Source organism: Homo sapiens, chromosome 1 (genome assembly GCF_000001405.40).
Source record: "Homo sapiens chromosome 1, GRCh38.p14 Primary Assembly".
Lineage (NCBI taxonomy): Eukaryota > Metazoa > Chordata > Mammalia > Primates > Hominidae > Homo > Homo sapiens.
Window position 1 is genome coordinate 15,864,954 of NC_000001.11, and position 23,204 is coordinate 15,888,157.

At 40.8% G+C, this 23,204-nt stretch overlaps 1 protein-coding gene across 1 annotated transcript in view, besides 1 other annotated feature; it reads left to right on the forward strand.

Annotated features, from left to right (window-relative positions):
• SPEN (spen family transcriptional repressor) overlaps nucleotides 1-23,204 on the forward strand; it is a 92,750-nt gene that overhangs the window by 17,247 nt on the left and 52,299 nt on the right. The window contains exons 2-3 of the mRNA NM_015001.3: nucleotides 7,863-8,183; nucleotides 11,249-11,725. Of these exons, the coding sequence (NP_055816.2) occupies nucleotides 7,863-8,183; nucleotides 11,249-11,725 (798 nt within the window). The remainder of the gene's footprint in view (nucleotides 1-7,862; nucleotides 8,184-11,248; nucleotides 11,726-23,204) is intronic.
• Nucleotides 307-807: an enhancer, noted in NCBI's record as "H3K4me1 hESC enhancer chr1:16191755-16192255 (GRCh37/hg19 assembly coordinates)". NCBI's record gives its function as "activates a minimal SCP1, AML or CMV promoter by ChIP-STARR-seq in primed H9 embryonic stem cells {active_cell/tissue: H9 hESC(primed)}" and the evidence as "EXISTENCE:reporter gene assay evidence [ECO:0000049][PMID:30033119]".

The window sequence follows — 23,204 nt, forward strand, 5'->3', positions numbered from 1 at the left end:
GCTTCCCAAAGTGGTGGGATTATAGATGTTAGCCATCATTCCTGCCCATTTTTAAGATTTTGAGTGAAATTGAGCAGCTTTGAGTGTGTTTTTAATCTTAATTTTAATTTTTTTTTGAGATGGAGTCTCACTCTGTCGCCCGGGCTGGAGTGCAGTGGTGAGATCTCAGCTTACCGCAACCTCCGCCTCCTGGGTTCAAGCAATTCTCTTGCCTCAGCCTCCCGAGTAGCTGGGACTACAGGCGCACGCTGCCATGCCTGGCTAAATTTTGTATTTTAGTAGAGACGGGATTTCACCGTCTTGCTCCCAGACTGGTCTCAAACTCCTGACCTCAGGTGATCTGCCGGCCTCGGCCTCCCAGAGTGCTAGGATTACAGGTGTGAGCCACCACGCCTGGCGAGTGTGTTTGTTTTAATTACCATTTGTGAGTGTGTTTTAGAAAATCTTCCTATGCAGGTATATGCCTGTTTTTTTTTTTTTTTTTTTCTGAGACGGTGTCTCACTCTGTTGCCAGGCTGGAGTGCAGTGTCTGGATCTCAGCTCACTGCAGCCTCCACCTCCTGGGTTCAAACGATTCTCCTGCCTCAACCTCCTGAGTAGCTGGGACTACAGGCACGCACCGCCACATCCGGCTAATTTTTTTGTATTTTAGTAGAGACGGGGTTTCACCGTATTGCCCCCAGGCTGGTCTCAAACTCCTCACCTCAGGTGATCCACCCATTTTGTCCTCCCAAAGTGCTGGGATTACAGGTGTGAGCCACCGCACCCAGCCACATTTGCCTGTTTTTTGTTGGGGCGTCTCTTTCCCTTGATTTCTAATAACTCTGTATAGTTAGGAAATCATTTATTTCTCAAGTGTTGCAAGTATTTTTTTTCTCCATTTGTCTTTTGACTTTATATCTTGCTATATAGGAGTTGTAATTTTTTTTTTTTTTTGGAGATGGAATCTCACTCTTGCCCAAACTGTAGTGCAGTGGCATGATCTCAGCTCACTGCAGCCTCAGCCTCCTGAGTTCAAGTGATTCAGGAGTTGTAATTTTTATGTGGTTTGATTTATGTAGTCTTTTCCTTTATGGTTTAGGGATTTTATATCATGCCAGTTCCAAAATTATATGACAGCTCAATTATTATTATTATTTTTGGCATAAGCTAATACATATCTTCAAACTATGAAAAATCTTGCTCACCTCTTTTTCCTTCCCTCCTCCCATCCCTCCTAGTAGAGAAATACTTCAGGGTATGAGCTTTTTCTAAAAATGAAATTAGGGCTTTGTAGTTAACTTTCTTTTGCTGGCTTTAGGGATTCTCCGTATCTTTTGCCATCTTTAGTAATTATTTGTTACTAAATATTTGTTACTGAAAAGAGTGATTAAAGGAGGAATACATTAGTTTTTTTGTTTTGTTTTGTTTTGTTTTTTGAGACACAGTCTCACTCTGTTTCCCAGGCTGGAGTGCAGTGGTGCGATCTTGGCTCACTGCAAGCTCTGCCTCCCGGGTTCACGCCATTCTCCTGCCTCAGCCTCCCAAGTAGCTGGGACTACAGGCGCCTGCCACCACACCTGACTAATTTTTTGTATTTTTAGTAGAGACGGGGTTTCACTATGTTAGCCAGGATAGTCTCGATCTACTGACCTCGTGATCTGCCTGCCTGGGCCTCCCAAAGTGGTGGGATTACAGGCGTGAGCCACCGCGCCCGGCTGGAATACATTAGTTATTTAAGAACAGCTCATATATCCATTATATATATAAAATCATTTCATAATAAATTTCTTGAAAGAGTTCTGTATTACCATGAAATGAAGCTAGCAGATTTTGACTATCATCAGCACCTCATCATATATAACGTTCCTAGTTAGGCGTGCTTGAAATAGAAAAATGCCTTCCATGGTTGCCTATTTATAGTAGGATGTGGCATACAGTTGATTTATAGTGAGATAACATAGAAACTTGTGACTAAAGGAGATATAAAATCTTTTGTGTTGAAGGACAGGGACAGGTATTTTTTGTATTTTTGAAAGATAACAGTTTTATTAAGCTGTAACTCATAAACCATAAAATTTACCCATTTAAAGTATACAATTCAGCTGTTTTTAATATATTCACAGAGTTGCGCAACCATTATCACTATCTAATTGTAGAATAGTTTCATCACCCCAGAATGAAACCCACATCCATTAGCAGTCATTCTCCATTCTCCTTTGTCTTCAGCCCCTGGCAATCTCTAATTTACTTTCTGTTTGCATGGATTTGCCTATTTTGGACCTTTTGTGTATTATGGAATCATACAGTATGTGACTGGCTTCTTTCATTATGCATGTTCTCAAGGTTCATCCATATTTTAGAATATATCAGAACATCATTCTTTTTTGTTGCTGAACAATATTCCATTGAATGGGCATGCCCTCCCCCCTTTTATTTTTATTTTTAAGAGACAGGGTTTCACCATGTTGCGCAGGCTGGTCTCCAATTCCTGAGCTCAAGCAATCTGCCCACCTTGGCTTCCTACAGTGCTGGGGTTATAGGCCTGAGCCACCACGCCTGGCTCATGCCACGTTTTTTATCCATTCATCAGTTGATGGCCATTTAGATTGTTTCTCATTTTTGGCTGTTATGAAAAATGCTGCTATGAAAATATCTGTATATTTGTTGTTGTTTTTTGAGGCAGGGTCTTGCTCTTTCACCCAGGCTGGGTGGCTATCTCACCAGCAATGTATGAGGGTTCAGATTTCTCTTCATCCTCATTATTAGTTGTCATTGCCTTTTTTTTTTTTTTAGCTGCCCTAGTGGGTATGAAATGGTATATAATTGTGATTTTGATTTTGATTTCCCTAATGACTAATGATGACTAAATTTACCATCTTTTCATGTGTTTATTGGCCATTTATGTATCTCTCTCTGTATCCGTATATGTGCTCTGCCACCCAGGCTGGTGTGCAATGGCGTGATCTCAGCCCACCGCAACTTCCGCCTCCTGGGATCAAGCAATCCTCCTGCTTCAGCCTCCTGAGTAGCTGGGACTACAGGCATGTGCCACCACACTTAGCTAATTTTTGTGTATTTTGTAGAGTTGGGATTTTGCCACGTTGCCCAGGCTGGTCTCAAACTCCCAGGCTAAAATGATCCACCTCCCTTGGTCTCCCAAAGCGTTGGGATTCAGGAGTGAGCCACTGCATCCGGCCCCAGCTAATTAAAAAAAAAATTATATATATTTATTTATTTATATACATATATATTTATAGAGATGAGGTCTTGCTGTGTTGTGTAGGTGGGTCTGGAACTCATGGTTTCAAGTGATCCTCCCACCTGGCCTCCCAAAGCTTTGGGATTACAGACTTGAGCCACTGTGTCCAGTCTCATTTTAGAAAATTGGATTGTGCTTTTCATTGAGTTTTAGGAGTTCCCTATCAGAGATATAATCTGTAATTATTTTCTCCTATTCCATAGGTTTATGTATATTTTTGATATGTCTTTAGATAGAATAAAACTTTTTTTTTTTTTTGAGATGGAGTCTTGCTCTGTTGCCCAGGCTGGAGTGCAGTGGTGCGATCTTGGCTCACTGCAAGCTCCGCCTCCCGGGTTCACGCCATTCTCCTGCCTCAGCCTCCCAAGTAGCTGGGACTACAGGTGCCCGCCACCATGCCCAGCTAATTTTTTGTATTTTTAGTAGAGATGGGGTTTCACCATGTTAGCCAGGATGGTCTCGATCTCCTGACCTCGTGATCCGCCTGCCTTGGCCTCCCAAAGTGCTGGGATTACAGGCGTGAGCCACCGTGCCCAGCCAGAATTAAACTATTAACTGTTTTAATTTGTCATTGTCATTTAGCTATTTAGATTTATCATTGACTTGCTGGATATTTGTTAAGTTTTACTTTGGTTTTAATTTATTTTAACTGACATGAGGTATATGACATATTACAAATTTTACTGTCTTACTTGGTTATGTTCAAATTGTAGGAGTCTTGTAATCTGAGTATATGATTTCAAGTTACATGCTACATTTAGTGTGTTGAAATATGGGGATATCAGTAATTGTGAATGGAGTAGTCTTAATATCTACTTCAGTTATGTTGATGACAAGTAACAGCTTTTATTAAATTAATTATTTATTAATTTATTTTCGAGATGGAGTTTTGGCTCTTGTTGCCTAGGCTGGAGTGCAGTGGCGCGATCTCGGCTCACTGTAGTCTCTGCCTCCCAGGTTCAAGCGATTCCCCTGCCTCAGCCTCCTGAGTGGCTGGGACTGCAGGCGGGCACCACCACACTCGGCTAATTTTTTGCGTTTTAGTAGAGATGAGGTTTTACCATGTTGGCCAGGATGGTCTCCATCTCCTGACCTGGTCATCTGCCTGCCTTGGCCCTCCCAAAGTGCTGGGATTACAGGTGTGAGCCACCGTGCCCGGCCCTTTTGGTCTAAATATAAACTCACGTGGGTTGAATTATAAATTAGTAATTCATTTATAAAATTTTGTTACAAAAAAGGTAATATAAGTATTAATGTTACTACATTAGTGCCCATAATTTGGTGGTTGTAATGGATACATTTATGATTTAACTGAGTTCAAAAGAGGAATGATTTTAATCTTTTTATAATGTAAAAAACCAGCACAAACATTTATTGTCTCTACTGTATTTATTTATTTATTTATTTATTTATTTATTTATGAGACAGGGTCTTGCTCTATTGCCCAGGCTGGAGGTGAGTGGCATGGCCATGACTCACTCATGGCCATTTTCACTGATGCTCCTGCCTCAACCTCCCAAATTACTGGGATTACAGGTGTGTGCCACCACGTGGCGTGTTGTCTCTACTGTTACAGGTAGCCTAGCCAAACTTGAATATATTCATCTCTCATGACTTTTTCTTATCCCTTATGGTGTGTTTATTTGCTCTTTGCTTTTTGTCTGTCTATAGTTATTGATTTTTTTTTTTTGGGACAGAGTCTCACTCTGTTGCCCAGGCTGGAGTGCAGTGGCGTGGTCTTGTCTCACTGCAACCTCACTGCCTTCTGGGTTCAAGCGATTCTCCCGCTTTAGCCTCCTGAGTAGCTGGGATTACAGGCGGGCACCACCATGCCTGGCTAATTTTTGTATTTTTAGTAGAGACGGGGTTTCACCATGTTGGTCAGGCTGGGTCTTGAACACATGACCTCAGGTGATCCACCTGCCTCGGCCTCCCAAAGTGCTGCGATTACAGGTGTGAGCCACCATGCCCAGCCGATCATTTGCTTTTGAATAAGGCACAGCTGTGGTGATGATGGGATGGAAAGGTGGAAAAGTAGGCAGTACACAAAGCCATGGGTAGTTTGATAAAAATGTGATCTTTTGGAAGTTATATATTGGGTTTTAGTTGGGTGGGTGGCTATGTAATTTGCCTGCATCTTCAAAAGGCTTGACACTCGTCCTCATTTACAATTCTATAATAACTTTTTCTCCCATAGCAGGATTTCAAAACTTTGAGAGCTAGTAAAGATGGGATCTCATTCCCTGGAAATAGAACAGTAATGTTAATGATCATAAAACGACTCAGATGTGATTTTTTAGCTCTAGAAATTAACTGGGCAAAGAGGGATTAGATGCAAAATTTGAATGTGTTATTTTCATTGGTGTTCTGTTGTCTTGCTTCAAGAATGACTCAGAGAGAATTGTTTTCTATAGTAGCATGACTTGTGTGAGAATGAAGTGTGTGGCAGTTCTTTCCTATTGCTTATTAGGTCAGTTGCAAAAGCTAAGATTAAAATTAATCATTGCATTCCTATTGATAGCCTAGCCAATAAAGGTTGAATGTAGTCACTTCTAGAAAGGAGTATTGAGAGAATTCCTTGGATTTTAGCATACTAAGGATTTTAAAGCTTTGTGTAATTGATGCTTTGGAAGTTATGGAGTGAGTTTCTTATGCAGTTGATGAAAACAATTTTAGAATGGGAGGGGTCTTCTTTTCACATACCAACGAACTGAAAATTGTAAATAAATGTCATGAGGCTAGGGATCTATGTTTTGTTCCCAGGATGTGTTAAGCTCCTAGAACAATGCCTTTTTTTCTTTTTTGAGATGGAGTCTGACTCTGTTGCCCAGGGTGGATCTCGGCCCACTGCGTCCTCACCGCCTCCTGGGTTCAAGTGATTCTCCTGCCTCAGCCTCCTGAGTAGCTGGGATTATAGGCGTGTGCCACCACACCTTGCTAATTTTTGTATTTTTAGTAGAGGTGGGGTTTCACCATGTTGGTCAGGCTGGGTCTCAAAATCCTGACCTCATGGTCTGCCTGCCTCAGCCTCCCAAAGTGCTGGGATTTCAGGCTTGAGCCACCACGCCTGGCCTCAACAGTGCCTTTTAAAACCATATAGTTAATAACCTAATCGGGATTAGAACCCTAGTCACTTTTCTCATGTATTTTCTATTTTCTTTTTTGAGACTGAGTCTCGCTCTGTCACCCAGGCTGGAGTGCAGTGGCACGATCTTGGCACACTGCAATCTCCACCTCCTGAGCTCAAGCAATTCTCATGCCTTAGCCTCCCAAGTAGCTGGGATTACAGATGTGTACTACCATGCCCAGCTAATTTTTTTGGATTTTTAGTAGAGGTGATCCACCTGCCTGGGCCTCCCAAAGTGCTGGGATTACAGGTGTGAGCCACTGCACCCAGCCTGTATAAATAATTTTAATTGTACCTATATTATAAAGTTTAACAGTTTTAACTCCCTGGAGAAAGAAAATTAAGTAGCAAAAAAATTACATTAAAAAAATTAGACTGTCACTTGCAAATGGACACAAAAATATTTGGATTTACTTTTGCCTTTAAGTAAGGAGTGTTTGAGTACTTCAGTTTTCCAGTACGATTGTCACTTAATGAATTAAGTTAAAATGAAATCTGTAAAATAGCTATGTATAGTTTTTATTTTAATATAAGTTTTACAGATTTTTAAATTACTTTGATTCTATCTTAGGTTCAGTAGTCGTTTTTAGACTATAAATATTTGTAAAAACTTCTGAGAAGTGTATTTCAAGGCCGGGTGCTGTGGCTCATACCTGTAATCCCAGCACTTTGGGAAGCCAAGGCAGGCAGATCACCTGAGGTCAGGAGTGCAAGACCAGCCTGGGCAACATGGCGAAACCCCATCTCTACTAAAAATACAAAAAACATTAGTTGGGTGTGGTGGCATATGCCTGTAATCCCGGCTTCTTGGGAGGCTGAGACACGAGAATCACTTGAACCTGGGAGTTGGAGGTTACAGTAAGTGCACTCCAGTCTGGGTGACAGAGTGAGACTCTGTCTCAAAAAAAAAAAAAAAAAAAAAAGTGCATTTCAGCTAAGGGTTCTAGAAAGGTGAAGGGGAGTTTTGTAAATATTATATTTAAGGAATGGGCCGGGCGCGGTGGCTCATGCCTGTAATCCCAGCACTTTGGGAGGCTAAGGCGGGCGGATCACGAGGTCAGGAGATCGAGACCATCCTGGCTAACACGGTGAAACCCCGTCTCTACTAAAAATACAAAAATACAAAAAATTAGCCTGTCGTTGTGGCAGGTGCCTGTAGTCCCAGCTACTCGGGAGGCTGAGGCAGGAGAATGGCGTGAACCCCAGAGGTGGAGCTTGCAGTGAGCTGAGATTGTGCCACTGCACTCCAGCCTGGGCAACAGAGCGAGACTCCATCTCAAAAAAAAAAAAAAAAGAAATGAGAGTAATGTAATAATGCGATACAGATATTTTCCCCAGAGAGAAAAACGTTAAGTGTAAAAGAGAGCCATTTAAAAAGTCATTTTGCAGGTCGTCCCTCCTACATACATAACGCAAATTGTCCAAAAAAAATCTAAAAACTCATTTTGGAAAATTATTGATATGCAGCAATAACGTTGACTTTATTTTTTCCAGATATGGCCGCGTGGAAAGTGTCAAAATTCTTCCCAAGAGGGGATCTGAAGGAGGAGTGGCTGCCTTTGTGGATTTTGTGGACATCAAAAGTGCACAGAAAGCTCACAACTCGGTCAACAAAATGGGTGACAGAGACCTACGCACGGATTATAATGAACCAGGCACCATCCCGAGTGCTGCTCGGGGATTGGATGATACAGTTTCCATAGCATCTCGTAGTAGAGAGGTTTCTGGGTTCAGAGGAGGTGGTGGAGGGCCTGCTTATGGTCCCCCACCGTCACTTCATGCACGAGAAGGACGTTATGAGCGGAGACTTGATGGGTAAGTTCCAAGGTTTCTGTAGGCAGGTATTTTGTATTTGATATGGTGAGAAACAGAAACTCATATTTAGGGGCCCCAGATGGATTTAAAGTTTTGGGCATTCTCAATGTTTCCTATTTTGGGTTGGAAACGGAAGTGATTTATATCCCAATGGCTGGTATCTTATGGAATCGTAGAGGATATTTCCTGCAGCTGATTGGATATCTGTTCCTGAGATATAATGTGATGGAAGATTTCCTATGGAAGCTTCATTTTTGGAGTTACCTGTCTTCTAGAATTACTTATTCCTTCTCTTGGATAATGTTAAGTCCTTCCTTGGATATATCCCTTCTACCTGATGGAGCTATTTGGCTTTTGTGTTCATACTATATGGAATATTTCTGGAATATTAGAGCCTACAGATTCTTTTAGAAGTTGATATCTGCCTCTCCATTTTCACTACATAAAGTGTACAAACAAATTGGATTGTAACAAAAAATCTGGCAGACCATAATGATTCAACCACTTGGATTCTACAAACAATACTTTAACATGGAAATGTGTACTTGGATGAAGAAGAGAGAAGGCAATGCCTGATTTTTCCATTTTGGATCTACACAATTTCTGTATTGTTGGAATTACACTCTTTGATGGAATGGGGAAAAATTAAAATGATGGATGTTTCCTAAATCCTGGAATATAGCCATTCTTTTCTAATTGCTGGGATATATGGGATGTCTTGCTGTCAAGATTCCACTAGCCCAGGGAAAGAGGATTACTATATCATTTCTTAAGCAAGTTGCTGTCCAATCAAAGGTACTTTAGCTTTGAACACATGGTGATGATCAGTTGTGGATACAGCAATCAAAATTGACTGGGCTGGATGGCTACAAAAGTGAACTATTGGCGAGCAACTGTGCCTTCCTCATTCGTTGGAATTGTAGAGGATATTTCCTCTTCTGCCAGCTACCTGATTCATACTTAGGGCTGGAAATATTTATGAATGTGGATAAATTTCTAATTGTCTGCTATCTCAAGAAAGAAGTCTGGGGGTTTGAGAGTTACAGTTTGTCTGGGACTACTTGCTTCCAGTGGAATTATTTTGTCTGGTCACTAAGATTTTTTTTTTCTTGTGGTTCATCTAAATATCATTTGACACCCTTGCCCATTAAGAAGGTGGATTACCCCCATAAGAGGGGCCAAAATTGGGGAAGTTATGTTCACAATTCTCTCCCTAGATTTAATTGGGATTATAGGTCGTGTTTCCACACTTGGAAAAGGTTGGTATGTCCTGACCTGTGTATATTAGCCCCTCTCCTAACCCAAGTCAAACTCTCTTTTTTTCCCCACTAACTCTAGAAGTATTTAGTACTAATAGTGAATCAGAGAATAGCCATTAGATTTCAGCTCTGCTAGCTCTTGTGCCTGCCTTCTGTATCTTCTTAATGGATAAGAACTTTGCATATTTATAAAATAGCAGCTGTAGCAGTAATCGTCCTAGAACTTTTTTGCCTGTTGCTTCTGTTAAATCATTAATAATGGCTTTCACTGATTAACATTTGATAGGGTGCTAAAGTAATTATTTATGGCATTTTAAGTCTCAAAGGAAACCCTCTTATTTGTTAGACATTGAAATATAAAAATCTCAGAACTGTAGTAAATAAAAGAGAAACTCATTTAATACATTTAAGTAGGAAAGATATAGAATGTTTATCATGCCAGTTGTTTTTCACAATAGCAGCAAAAAAAGCTAAACTAAGCCTAGGAAGGTGGGGTTGCTACTAAGTGAAATGATGGGTGAAAAGAATATTAGTGGAGAGACCTGGAATCTAAGCATGTACTGGGGATCTGGTATTAATTGTTATAAGATTTTGCCAGATATTCTTCATTGGAGAGATTCTAATTCTTTATGTTTCATGATTCCTTAATCCCTTTTGATAGAAGATAGATCCAGAGATGGGTTGAAGAGAAACTCCAGTGAAATGGTCTTTTAGGAACTCAGGAGCTGAGTTCTAGTTCTCTACAAAAGTAGAGAACTTACGATTTCTTTATAGGATTATAACTAGTTTTTAATATTAACACATAATTGCATGTGTGTAATCGTACATGCAACGTGTTTTGTACTTTTTAGGTTGACAGGTATTCACATCCTACTAAATGATTGTTTAAGTTAAGCTATTTTGCTAATAGCGACCTTAGAATATCTTATAGTTCCTAATGTTACCTAATTTCATCACAGGCAATTTGAGTATAGCTAAAAGCCAAAAGAACATATTTCCTACAACCATTGAGTTTATACATTAAGAAATTGAATCATGGAATAGGCATTTTTAAAGTCATTTGGAATTTGATAGCACAGGAGTAAATAATTTTTATTTTTATTTAAATTCACATAGAGTAGCATGTGGTAACCCAATATTTTGATACTTGAAGTGGTTTTTTTTTGAGATTCTATTTTTATTATTAAATGTAATTGGGTACCGCTGTGCAGTCTATGTAGTCTAGTTTATGTAGTCCAGTAATTTTTTATAACTATCCAAGCAGTCAAAACTTAATGAAAAAAAGTTAAACTTAGAAAATTTTTTCTGGACTTCTTGAAAGTCCTTCCTATTGTTGAGACATGCGCTGCAGCAGGGCTTTCATGTCTAAGTTAAAACATAGCATGGAAATGTGGCCTAAAAGAAATTTGTGAGTAAATAAAATTTGGTATATACTTTAATCAGATGAAAGTGTAAAAACTTTCATATTATTAAAATAGTCTCTTGTTCCGTTAACATGAAAAGGAGATTGTATATTTATGTATGCAAGTCAGAAAATCTCTAATAAAGTAAGCAAGTGAGCTGCAGAACACTAGTCATGAAAGCCCAATATACAATGAAAACAATGATTGCTCAGCTGTGAAAATAATTTTTGGAGTCAAGTAAAATGTTAAGCTTGTTAGCGTTTGCTTATTAAGTAGGTTAATGCTGTTTAGAAAATGACCAGTTGCAAAGACAAAGACAATGCTGAAGTGAATGTTTGCATGACTTGCTTTTAGTTTTGCTTGCTCCTTTCTGATTAAATATTTTTCCCCCTCCTAAATGCAGGGCTTCAGATAACAGGGAGCGTGCTTATGAACATAGTGCCTATGGACACCATGAACGGGGGACGGGAGGATTTGATCGGACAAGACATTACGATCAGGATTACTATAGAGATCCTCGAGAGCGGACTTTACAACATGGGCTCTATTACGCTTCTCGGAGTCGAAGTCCAAATCGCTTTGATGCTCATGACCCCCGATATGAACCTAGGGCTCGCGAGCAGTTTACACTGCCCAGTGTGGTACACAGGGATATCTACAGGGATGATATTACCCGGGAGGTACGAGGCAGAAGGCCAGAGCGGAATTACCAGCACAGCAGGAGTCGGTCACCACATTCATCCCAGTCTAGAAATCAGTCTCCTCAGAGACTGGCTAGCCAAGCATCTAGACCCACAAGGTCCCCTAGCGGCAGCGGCTCTAGAAGTAGATCCTCCAGTAGTGATTCAATCAGCAGCAGCAGTAGTACCAGCAGTGACAGGTAGGTTAACAGCCTTTTGTTATAACAGATGAGCTAGCTTTAAACAAATTCTCAACAATCAGTGGGAATGGTTTCAGCATAGTATTATTTTTTAAAGTAATCTTGGATCATATATGTATGTAATCAGTAAAGAAACTGGCATGTGGCCATTGAATTAACTGTTCTAAGTACTCGAAGTTAAGTGATGATTTGCAAAGTTCTGTTTCATCCTCCAGATGCACAGTATTAAAATTAAATGATCAAAGTGGAAGGGAGGTGGTGACTCTAGCTGTGCAAGGCAAATCTTGTGACACTGAAAATATGGTATCTCTTTAACATTTTTAATTTTGTAGGTGTATAATACCAATTTATTTCTATTATTTTGATTGAAGATTTGTAAAAGCTGTTTGGTTAAATATGTATTGGTGAAATATAATATTGTTGACACATTTATTATCAATGACTAGATCAACTTATGAACAAATTTTAGCTAATTTTAACATCAGGGTGGTAGCCAATTTATAAACTCAAGTAGAAAAGCTTCCTTTGAATGCAGGTTGTAACTTTACTGTTCTGTAAACTGATCTCACTAGTTGAGAATTTCTTTCTACAAATATATATATATATTTTAAAGACAGTCTCACTGTGTCACCAAGGCTGGAGTGCAGTGGTGTAGCCTTGGCTCACGGCAACCTCTGCCTTCTGGGTTCCAGCAGTCCTCCTGCCTCAGCCTCCCAAGTAGCTGGGATTACAAACGTGCGCAACCACGCCTGGCTAATTTTGTATTTAGTAAAGATGAGGTTTTGCCATGTTGGCCAGGCTGTTCTTGAACTCCTGACCTCAAGTGATTTGCCCACCTCATCCTCCCAAATTGCTGGGATTACAGGCATGAGCCAGAGTGCCCAGCCAAAAAGTTTTATTTGAAAAGCGAAAATAGTAAGTTGAGGGTAATCTTAATAAGAAACTTAGCTTCAAACCTAGTTATATGGATTTTGAAATCACAGATCTGGGTATGTGGTATAGATTATCCTTTAAGTAATCTAGGATAAGTTATTTATGTTCTTCAGGTCTCAGCTTTCCCTTTTTTTTTTTTTTTTTTTTTTTGAGATGGAGTCTCGCTCTTGTCACCTAGGCTGGAGTGCAATGGCGTGATCTTGGCTCACAGCACCCTCCACCTCCTGGGTTCAAGTGAGTCTTCTGCCTCAGCTTCCCATGTAGCTGAGATTACAGGCACCCATCACCATGCCAGGCCAATTTTTGTATTTTTAGTAGAAACGGGGTTTTACCGTGTTGGCCAGGCTGGTCTCTAACTCCTGACCTCAGGTGATTCACCTGCCTTGGCCTCCCAGAGTGTTGGGATTACCAGTGTGAGCTACTGCGCCTGGCCAAGCTTTCTCATTTTTAATAAGGACCTTAATAAAGTTATTGTGAAAATTAAAATGAACACTTAATGTAAAATGCTTACTTTGATACCTAGTATATGTTAAAAAAAATGCTGCTATTCAATTTGTTAATCCCACATGTCCTGCTTTTCAATTTAGGTGGTATATATTTAAAATTTACAGTCAAATTCTTTGACCTGATTAAAAGGCTCAGATTACTTTTCTTTTGCCTGCTTAAAATTAATTTAAGCAAATGGTCATGTAGTTGAATGTCTGTTTTTAGGCTTCCTGAATTTTCTTATTCAAAATAATACATGAAAACATTTTGTTTATCCCTCTGCCTATCTAGATATAATTCAAACATTCTGGAAGATTTGCATATTAAAATGAAACAAGCACCTAGTTTAGAAAGTCATGAAAGTTACGTTCTATGCCCAGCTTTCAAGCCGTGTGACATGGATGAAAACTCTTAACTTCTTTTGATTTTATTTGGTGTGCTGTCTAGATAAATGATTGATGAAATTCATTTGAACCCTATAAACTAATTATAAAATCTTGTTCCACTTTTTTTTCTGCATAGAATTGTCTAAAATGCTCAAGTTTTAGTCATTTTCCATAAACCTACCTCATTAAAAAGCTGCATCTGCATTCCACTGGATCAAAACTTATTGAAAAGGTGTTGAGGCACTGGGCGTGTGGCTCACTCACGCCTGTAATCCCAGCACTTTGGGAGGCTGAGGCAGGTGGATCACCTGAGGCAAGGAGTTCGAGACCAGCCTGGCCAACATGGTGAAACCCTGTCTCTACTAAAAATACAAAAATTAGCCAGGCATGGTGGCACATGCCTGTAATCGCAGTTACTCAGGAGGCTGAGACAGGAGAATTGCTTGAATTCGGGAGGTGGAGGTTGCAGTGAGCAAGCCACTGCACTCCAGCCTGGGTGACAGATGATGAGACTCTGTCTCAAAAAAAAAAAAAAAAAAAAGAAAAGAAAAGAAAAAAAAGAAAAAGTGCTGAGGCTGGGCAAAGTGGCTCACACCTGTAATTCCAGCACACTATGAGGCTGAGGTGGGTAGATCACTTGAGGTCGGTCAGGAGTTCGAGACCAGCCTGGTCAATGGTGAAACCCTGTCTCTACTAAAAATACAAAAATTATCTGGAGGTGGTGGTGGGTGCTTGTAATTCCAGCTACTCAGGAGGCTGAGGCAGAAGAATAGCTTGAGCCCAGGAGGTGGAGGTTGCAGTGAGCTGAGATAGCTAGAGGAGAATGATGCCTTCAGAGTAGCATTATACTTTGATGGGAGTATAATGGATCCGCCCTCAGAACTGTAGGCTCAGAAGCTTGAACCTAGAGGTGATCTGATGAATTTGATGGAGCTTAGTCCCTGCTCATGTAATTAAAAAAAAATAAAAAGCAGCTGTATGCTTCTAAATGTTTGCACTCAGAAAGATAACTGCTAGAAGGGTAGGATGCACTTAGAAAATCTGCCTGGGGAGTAAATTACAATAAAAAAGTTAGTGAGAAAGAGGATTTTTGATGATTATTTTATCAAGTTAGGGTAGCTAGATGTATTCATTTATATACCAAAGGCTACAACCTAGAAGTCTGGAGGGTGACATCTGACCAGCAGACAAATTTTTTTTTTTTTGAGGCGGAGTCTCGCTCTGTCACCCAGGCTGGAATGCAGTGGCACGATCTCGGCTCACTGCAAGCTCCACCTCCCGGGTTCACGCCATTCTTCTGCCTCAGCCTCTCGAGTAGCTGGGACTACAGGCTCCCGCTACCACGCCCAGCTAATTTTTTGTATTTTTAGTAGAGATGGGGTTTCACCGTGTTAGCCAGGATGGTCTTGATCTCCTGACCTCGCCATCCGCCCGCCTCGACCTCCCAAAGTGCTGGGATTACAGGCGTGAGCCACCGCGCCTGGCCCAGCAGACAAATTTAATTCACCTTGTATAGTGTTTTAAATTTAAATTATTGCCAGTGTTTAAAAAATTGGAATTTCCACCTAAAAGGCCAGATTTGGGCTCTTGTATGTTTTTTTCCCTCTGATTTGCACTGTAGGACCATACCTGACAAGGAAGTAAGGCATACTGAAATCTGCTGGTTGAAGGCACCTTCTTACCGTGGGCTTGGGGAAGAATCACTGAGAGATTCTTGCTCTGTTACCACTGTCTTATGTCTGTGTAGATTCTTCCTTTTTATAAATCACTATTTTTTTTTCCCTTCTGAGAGGTTATAGAGCATTTACTTAGGTTATTGGTTTCATTTCATATATAGTCATATTTTCTAGAGCTAACAGATTTCAACCCTATATTTACATGTTGCTTTTAGTGAGTTACTTGAACCTCATTCATTAACTTATTGATTCCTTCTAGTTTCACTGATGTGACAAATTTTATGTAATTATAGCTTTTTTTTTTTTTTTTTTTTTTGAGACAGGGTCTCACTCTCGCCCAGGCTGGAGTGCGGTGGCGCAATCTTGGCTCACTGCAACCTCTGCCTCTCGGGTTCAAGCGATTCTCTTGACTCAGCCTCCTGAGGAGCTGGGATTACAGGCACTGCCACCATGCCCGGCTAATTTTTGTATTTTTTAGTAGAGACAGGGGTTTCACTACATTGGCTAGGCTGGTCTCGAACTCCTGACCTCAAGTGATCCACCCACCTCAGCCTCCCAGAGTGCTGGGATTACAGGCATGAGCCACTGTGCCCGGCCAATGATAGCTTTTGTATCTATACATAAAAAGAACAGTGAGATAAATCTTTTGACTGCTGGGAAGACCTGATAGGTAGCATTTGGTTAGGCTATGAAGGATATGCAGGACTTCAACAAGAAGAGAGGAGGTTTAGGCTAGACAGGGAACACTGTGGGCAGAAGGAACAACCTGAGGTGGAAGGATGTTTTGAGCATAGCAGATAATTTAGAATGATTTAACTGTGGTAATGATTTTTTTTTTATTTTGAAGAGACAGAATCCTGCTCTGTTGCCCAGGCTGCTGGAGTGCAGTGGTCATAGCTCCTGGGCTCAAACCATCCTCCTGTTTCAGTCTCCTGAGTAGCTGGGATTATAGGTGCACATCACTTACACCTTGCTAATTTTTAAATTTTTCGTAGAGACAAAGTCTCACTTTGTTGTCCAGGCTGGTCTTGAGCTCCTGGCTTCAAGCGATCTTCCCTCCTCTGCCTCCCAAGTGCTAGGATTACAGGTGTGAGCCATCACGCCCAACTTTTGGGTTTTATTCTGTATGCAGAGAGGGCCATTAAAAGATTTAAGAAAGGAGATAGCTTGTTGAGATCTCTGCTTTAGAAAGGCAACTGGTGACTTATCCATAATCTCTGTTTTTCCTACTCTTGGTACCTCAGAGAAGGAAAATTTGGAACAGGTGGGAGAGACATTGTATTAAGAATCAGATTATCCTGATGTGTAAAAAGCAGAATGAACTTTCTGGTGATATGAAAGAACAAGACTGAGTGGCCTGAATGCATATCACAGAACCTAGTATATTGCCTTTCTCAGAATACATGTCCAATAAGTAGTTGAAATACTTAGATACAGTTCTTAGTTAACATGAAGGATAAAGCAAAATTGATGTAGATAGCTAAAAGTTTTTGTCATTTAAATTGTGATTGAAGCAAGTGTACAGAAATAATCCTCTGGTGTTCAGTTTACATTATTCCCTTTTATCAGATGTTCTCTTTTCCTCTTTAATTATATTGAATTCAAAGTGTAATATTTTGAGATGTTATGAAATTCAGAATGTTCAGTTTTCCTTTTGGAAGAAATAAGTTATTTCTTGTGATCTTTACAACTTGTGAAACTGTGACATTCCTGAAAGTCCTTTAAAGATGTTTAAAGTTAGCACTCGTATAGTGGACAAAATATAGCTTGGTTTTACCTATGGAAACAAGTTTGTCTTCTGTCTCCATGACTGATGGGGAAATTAATCACCCTCCATCCTTATTAATAGTTACACTTTTGATGAAGAGATTGCTAGTGGGGTATTTCAGATGAGTAAACATGGGATTAATGGCAGTCTAGTTGTGAAGTCCTTATAAATAACACATCTATTGTTTCTGCAAAACCATTTACAGTATTTTACTGGTGAGAACTGGGCCTTCATGGCTCCATGTGCTGCTATGTACTGCTCGACGTCTTTTTGTTTCTCTGTCATGGCCGTTTATTGAGCCACATTTCCTTTCAACAGAACATTTTAAATGCGTAAATTCCACAGAAGCATTTATTTTAAAATCCCTTGATTGAAGTTGAACATACTTTATTTCTATAGTTCCCTATTATTGGATTCCCGCCCCCCCAATCAAGTTGTAAGAATTTCCTTTAGGCCAGGTGCAGTGGCTCACACCTGTAATCCCAGCACGTTGGGAGGTTGAGGCGGGTAGATCATGAGGTCAGGAATTCAAGATCAGCCTGGCCAAGATGGTGAAACCCCATCTCTACTAAAAATACAAAAATTAGCCAGGTGTAGTGGTGGGCGCCTGTAATCCCAGCTACTATGGTGGCTGAGGTGCGAGAATCGCTTGAACCTGGGAGATGGAGGTTGCAGTGAGCCAAGATCGTACCACTGCACTCCAGCCTGGGCAACAGAACAAGACTCCATTTCAAAAAAAGAAAATTCTTATTTGCCATGAGCCGAGGAATGCACAGGTACTAACTAGATGGTGTGGACAGCTGACGCAAACTGGGCATATACAATGGGACACACCTGTACTAGGATGAAAGGCACAGCCTAGAGGGCTGGCAGGTGTTGGGTAATGCTCAAGTTTCAGAGTGATGGCAGAAGAGTAGGTTGGTAGGCCCTCATGGCTCTGCTTGGCAGCATCACAGGCCACAGCCCCCCTGGGGCTCTTGGTTCCCCCAGGGTCCAACCAAGTCTGAGTCATGGGGCTAGGATGAAGTTTCCCTTCCCTCCTCAGCAGGAAACCCCCTTCTTCCCAGAAGAGAGAGGGGAAAGGAGGCAATGGGTGACAGGGTCACTGCACCCACCAGAGATTGGAATTTTAGAGCAAGCTTTCTTCTTAAATAGATTTTAAAAATTAGAATGAGCTGATTTTTAAAAAATGTATTTCTCACATTTTCATTATATAGTTGTTACATTATTAAAATTTACTTTGCATTGTCATAAGCTAGAAGATATAAGGGAGAAGCTTGGGAACAGGAATGGGGGAAAGAAAGACACACACACAGTTCCTGGGCGGGGAAGCAGACATGTGAAACCCTTTGTGGTGTTTGCTTAAAGTAACAAGGAAAGCATATAGAAGAACTTCAAGTAACCAAACTTTTCAGCTCTTCTGCCATGTTAAGATATGGAAAGTCTTATGTCTCTCTCTTCTCCAGTGTGTTAGCTTTGCATTAGAACGATGTACTTTTTTTCTTTTTTTTTGAGACAGAGTCTTGTGTTGTTGCCCAGGCTAGAGTGCAGTGGTGTGATCTCGCCTCACTGCAACCTCCACCTCCCGGGTGGAGCAACTCTCACGCCTCAGCCTCCTGAGTAGCTGGGACTATAGGCATGCGCCACCACATCTGGCTAATTTTTTGGCTAAATGGATTACATGTGTGAGCCACTGTGCCCGGCCTAAAACAATTTACTTTTTAATTGAAAGGGAAATGAAAGTATTTCTTATTACTGATGGTATTCTTTGCACAACCTGTCTGTATATTTTTTTTTAATTACATATGCTGAGTAAAGTATATCAAAAGTTATCTATAACCCTATTACTTTTTTTCCTAATGTTAGACAATTTAAGATTCTTTTTTTTTTTTTTTTTTTTGAGACAGAGTCTTGTTCTGTCGCCCAGGCTGGAGTGCAGTGGTGTGATCTCGACTCACTGCAAGCTCCGCCTCCTGGGTTCACGCCATTTTCTTGCCTCAGCCTCCCGAGTAGCTGGGCCTACAGGCGCCCGCCACCCCGCCCGGATAATTTTTTGTATTTTTAGTAGAGATGGGGGTTTCATCATGTTAGCCAGGATGGTCTCGATCTCCTGACCTTGTGATCTGCCCGCTTTGGCCTCCCAAAGTGCTGGGATTACAGGCATGAGCCACAGCGCTCGGCTTGTTTTATGGGTTAACAGTAATTAGAATATTTAATGAATTCTGGATTTTAACAACAGATATAAGGTAATAAAAAGGAATATGACCCTTTTAACTTAAAAAAGCATGAAAGTCTGCAGTCTAATAAGAAGCATTTTTTTTCTGTAAAGACCAAATCTGCAAATCATGAACAATTTAGATATTATAGTTTCTTTCCTAGAGGGGGAATTTTACTCACATATCCTTTTGTCTTTTCTTGAGGAGATTTTGCAGTTAACTTATTTTAGTTAGGAGAAATTATTTTCTTCCAAGTTCAAGTAGAAAATTTTTCAAAAATGCTGTCATTTTTGTAGTCTTGTGAAAGAATGTGGATGAGGCTATAAAGGTGAGGAAAACCATTAAGAATGGTGGCATTGTATGTATCAAAGTGACAATGTACCTTCCATTTCTCTCTCTCTTTTTTTAAAAACAGGTATGTGCATTCAGGTGTCAATTGGGAGAAGGAATGCTAATTTTATTACCTGGCTGTACAGTTTCTTATGATACGTGGCATGTGCTGGGAACTGCCAGACATAGCAGCAGTTTTAAAATATATATGAAGTAAAAGTCAATTCCTTTCCTTTTCCTTTTCCTTTTGTTTTTCTTTTTCTTTCTTTTTTTTTTTTAAAGGCAGAGTCTTACTTCGTCACCGGGCTAGAGTGCAGTGGTGCAATCTAAACTGACTGCAACCTCTGCCTCCCAGGTTCAAGCGATTCTCCTGCCTTAGCCTCCCTAGTAGGTGGATTACAGGTTGTGCCACCAGCTAATTTTTGTATTTTTTAATAAAGATGGGTTTTCGCCATGTTGACCACCCAGGCTAGTTTCAAATTCCTGGCCTCAAGTGATCCACCTGCCTCCGCCTCCCAAAGTGCTGGGATTTCAGGCATGAGCCACTGAGCCTGGCCTAAAAGTCAGTGTTTTAAAGTATTAAACAAATTAATAATTAGTGATCATTTTTCGGTGATGATCATAGAAACAAATTTGTCTGATTTATTATCCAAAGTTACCTATAATAATGAATAGGCAAATAATTTCTGGATTCAGTGGTAGATATAATTTTGTTTTGTAGCTTTGTGATTCTTTATTTTTTTTTTGAGATGGAGTCTCGCTCTGTTGCCCAGGCATGAGCCACCACGCCCAGCCCATTCTTTGATTTTAATTAGTTTGTTCTGCTTCGTTATTACTTTTTTAGATCGTCTAGAGGTTTCAAAAGGGAGAATTTCTTGCTGAAAATTAGTGTTATGATTAAAACATATTCATTGCTTTGGACCTTTCCAACTGTTACATGAAGTTTCTTTTTAAGCATACAAGAGGAAGTGTACGTGGAGTTTCTATCTTGACGTTTATAATTATTCTTTGTGATGGACTCCTGTAAGAGCCAATTAATGGTTTTATTGACTGTGTATGATTAAGTATGCTCTTTCCTTAAAATATGTGTATCTAAATTCTTTAAAAAGTTACCTACTTGGAAGGGTTAGGGAAGAAAAAGAACAGCAGGCATATTAGTGTCTGTAATACTTGAGAAACATTAGGTCGTGCCTCATTTTGAGCGGCTCTCTTAAATACTTTACAAAAGAATAAGCATTTGCTTGTTCCCTGCTTAATGCTATTTTGGTACTGTTTAGCAGCATGGAATAAATGTTCAGCAGTGTGTGCTTTGGACAAGAAATACACCAAAAAAACCCTTTTTTTCCCATCAGTGGCAGACAAACTGCAGAGGTCACTGAAGAGCCCACAGTTTGGAAACACATTATTTTTTTTGGCTCCTGTATTGCTTGCATCGTTTGTTATTGTGCAATAAGCAACACACAACCTTCTGTTTTAGGGGGTCATATTAGCCAACCAAGCCTTTTTTGTGCTAAATATGGAAATGGAAGAGTACTTACTTAATTGTTCTGGTAGGCATAGCTCTCATAATGGATACCTGTAAATAGGTCTGTTTCCTTTCTGGATTTCCTTTTTTGGTCAAATACAGCATTTTAGTAAAGTTTTGTTTTTTTGTTTTTGTTTTAGATGTGTAGGTGTTGTCAGCTGCAGGGTCTTGTACAGAATAGGCATTCCATTTTGGAAACAAGTACTGGGCTGACCCATATTGCTGAAGTGGGAACCTTGCTTTTAGTTAGGATGCTCGACTGCAGAGGAATGAGAACCAGGTAGCCTTAGCTCTGGAAGCAGATGAGAAGCGCTCATCTGGGCAGCCCCTGCGTCTGAATATTGTGGGGGAAAATAGGAACTGTTGTTTGTGACTCGAACCAGCCTAAACTGGAACCATCCAGTTTGAGTTGGCTGCTTGCCACCTCCCGGAGGCTTCCTTGTTTTGCCAGAGTTTCTCCACAGCCCTCAGTCCAGGGGCGGGGCGCAGGGACCCGGCTGCTGCGTGGTGACTGGGCCAGGCGGTGGGAGGGGCAGGACGGCTGTGCCTTAGTGTTCCTGGAGAGGAGGATTTCAGATCTAGCCAGGGTGAACGCCCGACTGCAAGCTGGTACAAACTCTATTTTTAATACATCTTTCTGTTATTAACCCTTGCTTTAATGGTAACTTTTAGTCTTCTACCTTTTAGAAGCTACGGCTTCTGTAAAACTGCTTCTGCACTGCCAGTGCTTGGCCACATCACAACATGGTCAGCATTTGGTGACAAGGAGTTTATTACCAAAGTCCCCAGGAGCGTTGCTTTTAGTTAGGTTAGTCCATTTGAAATAAAGAACTGTCCCTCTCACCCCTTCTCATTCTTACCAATTAGGTTGTACTGAGGTTTTTTATTTTGGTTTCTTAGGTGGAAGGAATTAAAATAGGTTTTGGTGGCAAAGTTGTGACATGACATGATGTCTTGTGGGTTTTAATTTACTCTGGATGATTGATTGGTTGATTTTTGAGATAGGTTCTTGCTCTGTCGCCCAGGCTGGAGTGCAGTGGTAATTTGCACATTTGCAGCCTTGACTTCCTGGGCTCAAGCTATCATTGCACCTGAGCCTCCCAAGTAGCTGGGATTACAGCCACACACCACCACGCTGGGCTAATTTTTGTATTTTTTGTAGAGATGGAGTCTCACTGTGTTGTCCAGGCTGGTCTTGAACTCCTAGGCTCAAGCTATCCGCTTGCCTTTGCCTCCCAAAGTGCTGGGATTACAGGTGTGAGCTGTGCCTGGCCTGAATTTTTTTTTTTTTTTTTTTTTTGAGACGGAGTCTTGCTCTGTCACCCAGGCTGGAGTGCAGTGGCACGATCTCAGCTCACTGCAAGCTCCGCCTCCCGGGTTCACGCCATTGTCCTGCCTCAGTCTCCCGAGTAGCTTGGGACCACAAGCGCCCGCCACCACGCCCAGCTAATTTTTTGTATTTTTAGTAGAGACTGGGTTTCACCATGTTAGCCAGGATGGTCTCGATCTTCTGGTCTTGATCTCCTGACCTCATGATCTGCCTGCCTCAGCCTCCCAAAGTGCTGGGATTACAGGCGTGAGCCACTGTGCCTGGCCGAAAAAAATTTTTAATGTTGCTAAAAATCAGAAAGTCAAGCCTGGTCTGATGGTATGTTCCTGTAGCTTCTCTGGAAGTTGATGTGGGAGGCCTGGTGTTTGAGACATAGCAAGACCTCATCTCTTAAAAAAAAAAAAACAAGTCCTTCAGGTACGGTGGCTCACACCTGTAATCCCAGCAGTTTGGGAGGCTGAGGCGGGTGGATCACTTGAGGTCAGGAGTTCGAGACCAACCTGGCCAACATGGTGAAACCAGTCTCTACGAAAAAAATACAAAAATTAACTGGGCATGGTGGTATGGTGGACGCCTATAATCCCAGCTGCTCGGGAGGCGGAGGCAGGAGAATCGCTTGAGCCCTGGAGGCAGAGGTTGCAGTGAGCCAAGATTGCACCACTGCACTCCAGCTTGGGTGACCGAGGGACACTCCGTCTCAATAAAAACCCCAAAATTAAAAATAATAACAAGTAATTACGCAGATTAAAGTTTTAAATAACAAATTTTATTTTATTTTATTTATTTGTCTTTTTTTTTGAGACGGGGTCTCACTCTGTCACCCAGGCTG